Genomic DNA, 10,236 nt, shown 5'->3' with positions numbered 1-10,236 from the left:
TTGGAGAGAAATCCACAGTACGGGAATTGAAAGGAAATAACCTGGCATCACAGAAGAAAGAACCTCCTTCTAGAAATTAGACCTTGTCAAAGAGCAGAGGCACCTGGGTCATGGTTTCCAAATGCCTTTTCTCGCTGAAGGAACCAGGGCCGGCTCCAGACCCCCACTGTGGGAAGCCTGCAAAGTGGGCCTGGAACAGCCAGTTGTGCCAGAGCAAGTCTCAAAGTATCACCACAGGCTGCTCGGTGCAGGTGCCTTCAGGATTGAGAAGGTGGAAGACGAGCCACAACCCAGTGACAAGGCACGACACCCCTGGTTGGGGAGCTGGCCCCGTGTGGGTGCCCTGGGCAGGATGCAGCACCTGCGACAGCTTTCTCTCAACATGGGAAGCAACCAGGCGTTTCCAAATGAGGTACCTCCAGCAAAGCAACTGGGCTGGACCTTTCAAAACAGCAACAGGTAAATAACAGCAATACAAAGTGGAAGCTGTTCCACGCTAAAGGAGACTGGAGACACTATGACTAAATGCAGCGTGCAACTATTCACTGGGTCACCTGCATTAAAAGAAACCTGCCAAGGACATTATGGGATAATTGAGGATATTTAAATAAGGACTGCACATTTGAATCTTCAATAATTGTGCTGATTGTTATGCAGGCTCTTGTTTTTAGGAGATAGAGGAGAAGCTGAAGTGTGTGGGTGTGGGGGACCCTGAGGTCTGCAAGCAGCTGTCACATTCCAACACCACACCCCGCTTCGAGTGTGCATGCACAGCCCCGGGGCTCCTCGCGTAAAAGTGCACGCAGTGCTCGGATTGTCATTAGAAGTGTTTGGAGGTGGGACTTGAAGCCCCTGAACCCTGTGTCATCCCAGCCAGAAGGAGTGTGTCTGAGTGACCTAGGGTGGCTGCTGTGTGCAGCTTTCCCAGCCCTGGATGAGCAGGACCCGTTCTTTAGGTGACTGAGCTTTCTCTGTCCTCCGCACTTTACCAACACCCGCTTGCGTACTGCATGGGACAGCCCTTCCCGTGAGCTCTGCGGTGGCACTCTTTGGCTAATGGAGCTGCAGAGCCCAGGCCATGATCTCTCGAGGTTGCCTAAGCATGGGTGGGTGGCTGTGTATGAACGCAGTCCATGTGATCCTCCAGAACTGCTAGTTCTGCCACCTGGGGGCTGTCATCTCCAGAGTGGGGCCGACAGCCAGACACCGATGTACTGAGGCAGGAAAACCGCAGCACTCAGAAGTCCCCACAGCTGGGTGGGTGCAGCCACAGGCCCTGCACACGGTGTGACCTGCGGGGCCAGCAGCACAGCCAGCAGTCCTGGAGCAGCACTGACTCAGGCACAGGGCTCCAGCACATCCCTGCCCCAGCGCCCGCTGCACCTGCCCTTGGCTGGGAGGTGGTGGTTCCCAGCCCTGGCCGGGGAGGGCAGCTCATCTCCATGCTCTGCAGTTTCTCCTTGCATTTCGTCCTCCTATTTCCTAAGTGGATTGATTTAGTCCCAAGGACATGGTTGACTTCCATGCAGGCCTGTGTGACCGGACGAGAGAACCTGCCCTTTTAATCATAAAACCAGGAGACTCTCAGCCCAATCATTGCTTCACTGAACCCAAAATGACCACAGTGAAAAATGCTTATGACTCCTGGTGGGAATAATTCATAAAAGTTTTAAAAACTTCCTCATGGTGTTCTCTAAGCTTCCAATTTTATGTGACAAGGAACAAAAAATGACCTCTGTTGTGCAGCCGTGACTCCTCATCACACGCTGAATCTCAGCAGGGTTTGCTGAAAGATGAGGGAAAACACAGCTGCACGGGGCAGGCAGTACCCCAGCTCCTGGCAATGTCCTCCTCAGTTTCATTACCTGAAGCTGCAATGGCAGTTTTGTTAGGAGAAAGTCCTGGATTCAGAGGCTACAGACTCTTGTGTTCCTGGAGAAATCCACTAAGATGGGTGAATGATGGGGGAAATTAAGAACAACAGAACTATCCAAGGGCCAGTGTCACTGGGCTGTGCTCAGGGCGATCCCATGTGGGATGCATGTCCCTTTGGGGATAGTCAGGTGTGTGGGGGCAGGGAAGGTCTGCACAGGGGCTGCAGGTGGTTGTCTGAGGGCCACAGGGCAGCGAACACCCACTGGAGGGGGTGGGAGGACCTGCCGTGCACCTATGGGTCACCTCTCTCCCACGCTGCCAGGCCTGCCATGGAACTCAAGTGAAGCCTCAAGAACACAGCCTCCCTCCCTCGGAGACATGGCTTTCCACGTGGTCCCTCCAGCTCACACTGCTGCAGGGAGCTAAGATCCCACTGGGCTCCACTGGGCTCACAGCCAGATACAGAGTCTCACCAGCTCTCCTCACTGGTGTCCTGATGGGAAGCATTCAGTGCCTGTGGTCCACGACTGGGGGCCCCAAAGACATCCCCCTCCTCCTCCCCGGAACCTGGAAACATGGAAATTAAGCTTGCAGATGGGATTGAGGGGTTGATCAGGTGACCTTACGGTAGGGAGATTGTCCTTTGTCATCCAAGGGTCCTTCACAGTGGAAGAGGGGCTTGGAGAGGAGGTTAGAGAGACGGTGGCATGAGAAGGACTCAAGGCAAGGAAGGTCCTCCCCTGGAGCCTCCAGGAGGAGCCAGGCCTGCCGCAAGTCGAGTTAGTCCAGGTCGACTTTGGAGCTGGACCTGCAGAACTCTGGGAAGTCCACACTTGTTGCTCCAGGCACTAAGTCATGGTTGTTTGTACGGAAGCAACGGGAGGCTCATCCAGGGCCCTCAGCAGGAAGTGCTCATGTGAGAGGGCGGCTCTGTGCCCTTTATGCAGAAAATCCCTGAGTTTGGCCCCAACAACAAAAAAAACATGCTTCTTCTTGTGTCCACTCTTCCTGAAAAATTTCTCCTTTCTCTATCTTCCTTTTGCTGGATTGCAGGAGGATGAAAACCTTGATTTGTGATGGCTCTGGCCTCAGTGGGGGACGCGTGAGGCTCCTGGAAGGTGTGGGGGCGGTGATCTTCAAAGTGGGATCAGTGAAGCTTTCTAGGCACCTGCATTCTTCAGTATGTGCACCTGTACTTTAGCACTTCTACTCTCTGAGCAGAGGCCTACGCATCCAGCAGACTCTCAAATGGACTCCCACGTGTGAGGATGAGGCCCTCTGGGGCGGGAGAAGGGCAGGACACATGGCAGCTGGAGGCAGCAGCAAGGATGCAGGTCAAGCCCCAGGGGAAGATGTTCTTGTGGGGCACCCTGGACTGGGAAGGGCAGGGATCCAGAAGGCACCAGGCTTGAGGGCATGGTTGGGGTACCTCCAGAGACAGGGTTTGCCCAGGACCTCTCCACGTGGGCAGGACTGCCTGGGTGCAACTGGAATGCGTGTGGTTTCTCCCATGATGCCGCCTGGCTTCCCGAGTTCCCAAGGACGTGCGTCAGGCAGCCCCTGAGTGGCCTGCCAGGACGGCACTGTAAGGCCATCCTCAGAGACCCTTTCCTTCCAAACACAGTGGGGTACCAGACACAGCTAATCAGACAAATGAAAATTAAACGCTACCGTCATGTTAGAGAAAATTAGCATTGCTGGGGCCCAGAAATAAAGCTGATACCCAAGGCATTGTGTGGGTCGAAGCCCCTGGGAGCAGGCAGAGGTGGCCTGGGGCTTGGATCCAGGGAGTCAAAGGGAGTGTGTGCCCCACCAAGGCGGCGAGGGAGCGGCTCCCAACATACACCAAGGAAGGGGTAGGGCAGGAGGCAGAGCCCAGGCAAGGCTGTGAGTGCCATGTCCAGAGGCACTTTCTCGGAATCTGTGCCTGGGAGGTGGACAGAGGCACCAGGGCTGTGAAACCAGGTGGGGGCTGAATCACTGGTGGGCTTGTTGATCAACCTTGTGATGCCCTCCACGTCTCTGTGAGTCTCAGGCCCCGAGACTGAGCATGAAACTTGCTTCTGGGCCCAGGACCCTGTTTGAGCTGCAGAGGGAGCATGGGAAGAGAGAAGGGAGGAAAATCACGGCCTGATCGAAATCATAGGGAGCCCAAACCAACACAGTAAACACGGGAGGAAAATGAACCACACACAACAGTGAACAACCACGTTTCCAAACACAGACGTGCAAACTGTGAAACACAGCAGCACATGTCCAGGACGCAAGAGTGCAGATGCTGATATGTTTCATGAAAACACAGACGTGCAAACCGTGAAACACAGCAGCACATGTCCAGGATGCAAGAGTGCAGACGCTGACATGTTTCATGACAAACACAGACGGACGTGCAAACCGTGAAACACAGCAGCACATGTCCAGGATGCAAGAGTGCAGATGCCGACCTGTTTCATGACCAGGGAAATGAATAGATGGCTTCACGTCACAGAATCTGCTTCCTCTACTCATCCATCAAAAGGGAGAGAAAAGTGAATATCACTCAACGGGTACAAAAATGCCTTTGAAGAAATCATTACTCATTTACTCTAAGAAATGTTAACAGATGAGGGATAAAAGGGGATTTCCTTACCCTGACAAATATGGAAAACATATTTGATGATGAAATTCCAAAAGCACTCCCATCAAAGTCAGGAGTGAAGAGAGAACGTGTTCTGTCTCCTCTGACCTGGATGTGTCCTGGTGGCTGCAGCTGCTGGCGAGAGCCATGAGCAACAGGCAATCCACCGGCTGGGGAGTCAGAAACCCAGTGACGGTTATTTGAAGACAGCAGGATTGAAAATGCAAACATATCTGCACACCGTTCACACTTAAGAGACTGGCTGGCAAAGTCATTGGGCACAAAAGCAACGTTAAAAACCTGATAGCGCCGGGCATGGTGGCTCACGCCTGCAATCTCAGCGCTTTGGGAGGCCAAGGCAGGCTGATCACGTGAGATGAGTAGTTTGAGACCAGTCTGACCAGTATGGTGAAACCTCATCTCCACTAAAAAATACAAAAATTACCAGGGTGTGGTGGTACACACCTGTAATCCCAGCTACTTGGGAGGCTGAAGCACGAGGATCGCTTGAACCTGGGAGGCAGAGGTTGCAGTGAGTTGAGATCGTGCCACTGCACTCCAGCCTTGGTGACAGAGCAAGACTCTGTCTCAAAAACAAAAAACAAACTTACAAAAAAACCCCTGATAGATTCATTTCCACCGATAATAACCAACTGAAGCAACAGGAGAAAAGGTACCATCCCCAATGGCAACACAAGCTGCAAAGCTCCCACCAACAGATCTAGTAAAAGATGAGCAATGCCCCTCATACAAGAAGATGATGAGGAAACCCATAAATTATAACATTGTCCAAAGACATAAGGAACCCACACATATATGAGAGGTCTATCATGTTGATTGACACAGCGTAAAGATGGCAGCTCTTCTCAGATGAATTTATAAAATCAATGCGATTCCTATCAGAATCCCAAATGATGTTTAATGACACTGACAGCAGATTCTAAAGTTCACTGGATGATAAAAAGCCCAGCCCAGGTGCACCTGAAGAGCGGCGGTGGGGGCTGCCGTGCCCAGCCCAGGCACACCTGAAGAAGGGTGGCGGTGCGGGCTGCCGTGCAGAAAGTCAGTGTTATTCCAGTATCCTGAGCACATGTGCGTGTCCACACCCCTGCAGAATCATAGTCCATGGGGGAGGAGGCAGAGGGTGCAGGCTGACCCTGCCACACAGGGGCTGGGGCTATGATGGGGCTGCCTGGAGAGAAGGGGAACCTGCCGCATAGGCACGTAGGAATACAGATAGAAACAGAAGCCAGTCACAAGAGAACACAACCCAGAAACGCTTGAAAGGCTGAACTGTGAAAAGCCAAACTTGAAAACTTCTGGAAGAAAACAATGGTTAACATTAGGATATGGAAGGGCTTTTTAAATCAGGCAGAAACGGCAGAAACTGAAAAGGAAAACAACGATGAAGTGATAATAGTGAAATGAACGAACATTTATTCAGGGCTTCCTTCATGCCAGGCACTGTTGAAAGCACTTTACAAACACATTGGTTGAATCTTCTCAACAGCCCCATGTGGTCGAGGCAGTGGTGGGACCCCTTTGCAGAGGTGGAAACTGAGGGACGGTGACTTGGCTGAGGAGCAGCTGGTCAGGAGGAGAGCCTGGTTCCCAGCCTGTGTGGCTGCGGACACTCCGCTTCTGACTGCAGTGACAGGAATTTGATTATAATGAATAAAACAAACCAGGAATCAGGCCACCTTCTGTATAACAAAGGATGTCGTGAAGTCTAGGAGAATGTATGTGTGATGCAATGCACGTAACTGAAAATAAATTAGTGTCTAGCATACGATAAAGCCACCCGCGGCAAGACTAGAAATCCTGCAAGGGAGAGGTCACGTGACCACTGGCACACGCAGGGTGCTCAGCCTCTCCGGACGCCAAGAAACATCGCGGAAAACAATCATGGGAAACCGTCTCCTACCCACGTGACTGGCAGAAATTATGGTCTGACAATAAGAAAAGGTGGAGATTTATTTTATTTTTAAACAGTTTTAGTAGTAAACGATATACAAAAACTGTGTGTATTTAATGTATATAATGTGATGGGTTTAAACATGTGTACACACCTGTGAAGCCGTCCCCCTCCCTACAATCCAGGTAATAAACGCACTCACCTGTGAAGCCATCCCCCACCCCTACAATCCAGGTAATAAACGCAGTCACCTGTGAAGCCGTCCCCCACCCCTACAATCCAGGTAATAAACGCACTCACCTGTGAAGCCGTCCCCCACCCCTACAATCCAGGTAATAAACGCACTCACCTGTGAAGCCATCCCCCACCCCTACAATCCAGGTAATAAACGCACTCACCTGTGAAGCCGTCCCCCACCCCTACAATCCAGGTAATAAACGCACTCACCTGTGAAGCCGTCCCCCACCCCTACAATCCAGGTAATAAACGCACTCACCTGTGAAGCCATCCTCCACCCCTACAATCCAGGTAATAAACGCACTCACCTGTGAAGCCGTCCCCCATCCCTACAATCCAGGTAATAAACGCACTCACCTGTGAAGCCATCCCCCACCCCTACAATCCAGGTAATAAACGCACTCACCTGTGAAGCCGTCCCCCACCCCTACAATCCAGGTAATAAATGCACTCACCTGTGAAGCCGTCCCCCTCCCTACAATCCAGGTAATAAACGCACTCACCTGTGAAGCCGTCCCCCACCCCTACAATCCAGGTAATAAACGCACTCACCTGTGAAGCCGTCCTCCACCCCTACAATCCAGGTAATAAACGCACTCACCTGTGAAGCCGTCCCCCACCCCTACAATCCAGGTAATAAACGCACTCACCTGTGAAGCCGTCCCCCACCCCTACAATCCAGGTAATAAATGCACTCACCTGTGAAGCCGTCCCCCTCCCTACAATCCAGGTAATAAACGCACTCACCTGTGAAGCCGTACCCATTCCCCACAATCCAGGTAGTAAACACACTCACCTGTGAAGCCGTACCCCTCCCTACAATCAGGTAATAAACGCACTCACCTGTGAAGCCGTCCCCATCCCTACAATCCAGGTAATAAACCCACTTATCGCCTCCGAAAGGTTCTTCTTGCTCTCTTGTCCCTTTTTTTGTGGTGAAAACAAGTTTTGAGATCTCCTGTCTGAGAGCTTTTCAGTGTACACTGCAGCGTTGTTAGCTATGGGTACCATGTTGCTCACAGATCTCTAGAAGGTAAAATGACGCAGCTGCTATGGAAGAGAGGACCGAGAATCCTCAAAAAATGAAACATCGAAGCAACCTATGACCCCAACCCCACTGCTGGGTATATACCTTACAGATTGAAAATCAGGCTTCCTTCCTTCCTTCCTTCCCTTTTTTCCGTGTTCCGGTGCTTTGCTCTGGGAGGAGGTGAGGTCGTGTAGTCTAACAATGAGGGCCGAAGCTGTGTCCGGCCGGGGCCTCCATTAGGGGTCTTGGAAGTGTGGACCATAGGGTCACTGGGTCACCAGCTCAGATTGTTGCCACTGACAAAGGGACGGCTTTCCTCAGAGGGCCCTCGTGCCGTCTCTCTGAAGGGTGGCGTCCACTGGGCCTGGGGTTCTGCCTTGTCTTCTGCAGCGTATCACTCCCAGGGGCGTTTTGTCTCTGGCTCCCAGGGGCCTTTTGTCGCTGGCACCCCTGCAGGTCCTTGCAGCCTGCACACCCTGAGGCCCGCACGTTGCAGGTCGACCTGCATCTCTCTGTCCCCCCAGAATGCAAGTGCTGCCGAGGTAGCTCCATGTCCCCTGTCCGCATGAGCAGAGGGACGCCTTCCACCTGGCAGCTGTCTCCTCAGACCTCTGTGCAGCCCTTCCCTTTCCTAGACAAGCAGAAGGTGGAGCAAGTCACCTGCAGGGTTCCGGGCCATCGGCAGGGGGGACACAGAGTGTCAGGGCTGCCTTCATGTGGCTGACCTCATGGTCTGGCTGTGGCATAAGGAGAGATGAGACGGAGGACAAGCCATGCTTTGCAGCTGCCACAGAAGGACTCCCCGCCCTGAGCCTCAGCCCTGGTTCCAGCACAGCCTTCCAGAGAGCTCTTCTGGCAAAAGAGCAGCTCCGCAGCCAAGCAGATCCTGGAACATTCTAGTCCTCCTGGGGCCTCTCCCCCTCCACACCACTGTTCCCAGCATCTTTCCAGCCTGGATGTCCCCCGCAACGTTGGTGCAAGCCTGTCCCTTCCTCAGACCAGCAGCCCTTAGAACCATGTGGGACCAATACTGTCTACACCCTCCGCTGTGATGAGACGCAGAGTTTAATGGACTACCAAGGCCACGGGCTGGGGGAGTTTGGAGGCTTGGCCTTCCCTATGGTGGTAACCATTGACCCACAGGCCAATGACCAGCAAAGGGCTTGTACCTGCCTACTCCAAGATGTCCATCCAGTTATTCACGTGGGGATTGAGGCATGGCTGTTGGGTCTGTCCAGGGACCCACTGGACACCCTGTGATCCAGGCCTGAGCCAGAACTCCACGAGTCACCTGGCTTCTATGTGCCCTCTCTAATCTGGGGGCCGTGACAACTTTTCATGTCTCTGGGCATCCTTGGCAACTCAGACCCTGTGTCTAGCAGTCCTTGAATGTCTGGGGACCCCACCCTGGTGTCCGGCTGGCTAAGTGGCCACACAGCTCCTTCTGGGGAAGGATTAGGGGACCCTCACACGGATCCTTGTTGCAGGGTCCTTTCTCCTGGGCAAGGGGTTGTGGTTTTGGACTGAGGCCACTGATCCCTGGTTGTTTCAGCTCACCGCAGGGCAGCCCTGAGGGGCTGGTGTCCAGAGCTCCCCAGGAGACTGACTGAAGCCCTGTGTCCCTGCACCGCCCTGGACTTCTTCCTGTGCCCTTCCCTCCGCCCCTCCCCACAGATATCGATCCAGATAAATACCCTGAGCTGTCCTGCATACAAAGTCCAGCTCCACATCTGCTCCTGGGGGTGCCACCTGTGACACCTGCTTACAGAGACAGGGGAAGGGGCTCATCTCAGGCTGGCATCCTCCAGAGCCAAGGATTTGGGGACCAGTGCTTTCTCAAGGAGGTGCTCATGGGAGCCAGGAACGGGAGGAAAGCAGTCCTGGCTGGAGCGGGGAGCCCAGACTCCGCCTGATCCAGTGGGGGCTTCCGGGCCTCAGTGGCTCTTCAGAAGTCTATCTTGCCCCAGGCCTGGGCGTGGGGCTGTTGGTCCCAGGTTAACCCAGTACCATAGGGGGAAGCAGTGGCACCAGTGCTCAAGGGCAGCCTCCAAAGGCCAGGTGGTGCCTGCAGGCTGAGTCTGCAGAGGCTGATGGATGGGCGCACGGTGCTGGAGGAAGATTGTCTGGGAAGTAGGCACCAGCCAGTGCACTATAGGGGCACAGGTCATTGCAGAGTTCGGGACTATTTGTGTTCCTATCACCTCACACATTTGCCTTGACTTGAGTCAAGAGGAGGACCATAAGTCCTGTGAAAAAAGGTAGAAATGAGATTTCTCAAAACAAATGAATCAGTGCTCTGCGGGGAAGGCTTGGTGAGATCTTTACATCTGAAAAACAGCTGGCGCAGGCCACAAAGCTGGTGCTGCCCTGGTAAGGCCTCTGGGAGACTGCGCGACCATGGTTCAGACCAAAGCCGATGATTCAGCCCAGTGATCTGCAGCTGGTGGGTTCGGGTTAGGATCACCTGTGTGGTCACATGTGGATAAAAATGGAGAAACGTAATCACTCTGCTTCTGTTTCATGTATTCTTCTCTTTCTTTGGAAAACATCCCAAACTCAGTC

At 53.2% G+C, this 10,236-nt stretch overlaps 4 annotated features.

Moving 5' to 3' along the window:
• Positions 358–1,107: an enhancer, noted in NCBI's record as "H3K4me1 hESC enhancer chr10:133535217-133535966 (GRCh37/hg19 assembly coordinates)". NCBI's record gives its function as "activates a minimal SCP1, AML or CMV promoter by ChIP-STARR-seq in primed H9 embryonic stem cells {active_cell/tissue: H9 hESC(primed)}" and the evidence as "EXISTENCE:reporter gene assay evidence [ECO:0000049][PMID:30033119]".
• Positions 1,108–1,858: an enhancer, noted in NCBI's record as "H3K4me1 hESC enhancer chr10:133534466-133535216 (GRCh37/hg19 assembly coordinates)". NCBI's record gives its function as "activates a minimal SCP1, AML or CMV promoter by ChIP-STARR-seq in primed H9 embryonic stem cells {active_cell/tissue: H9 hESC(primed)}" and the evidence as "EXISTENCE:reporter gene assay evidence [ECO:0000049][PMID:30033119]".
• Positions 2,922–3,597: an enhancer, noted in NCBI's record as "H3K27ac-H3K4me1 hESC enhancer chr10:133532727-133533402 (GRCh37/hg19 assembly coordinates)". NCBI's record gives its function as "activates a minimal SCP1, AML or CMV promoter by ChIP-STARR-seq in primed H9 embryonic stem cells {active_cell/tissue: H9 hESC(primed)}" and the evidence as "EXISTENCE:reporter gene assay evidence [ECO:0000049][PMID:30033119]".
• Positions 8,202–8,703: an enhancer, noted in NCBI's record as "H3K4me1 hESC enhancer chr10:133527621-133528122 (GRCh37/hg19 assembly coordinates)". NCBI's record gives its function as "activates a minimal SCP1, AML or CMV promoter by ChIP-STARR-seq in primed H9 embryonic stem cells {active_cell/tissue: H9 hESC(primed)}" and the evidence as "EXISTENCE:reporter gene assay evidence [ECO:0000049][PMID:30033119]".

This window comes from Homo sapiens, chromosome 10, assembly GCF_000001405.40.
Source record: "Homo sapiens chromosome 10, GRCh38.p14 Primary Assembly".
Taxonomy (NCBI): domain Eukaryota; kingdom Metazoa; phylum Chordata; class Mammalia; order Primates; family Hominidae; genus Homo; species Homo sapiens.
The sequence above is the reverse complement of the archived record's forward strand: the minus strand, read 5'-3'. Positions and strand labels throughout refer to the sequence as shown.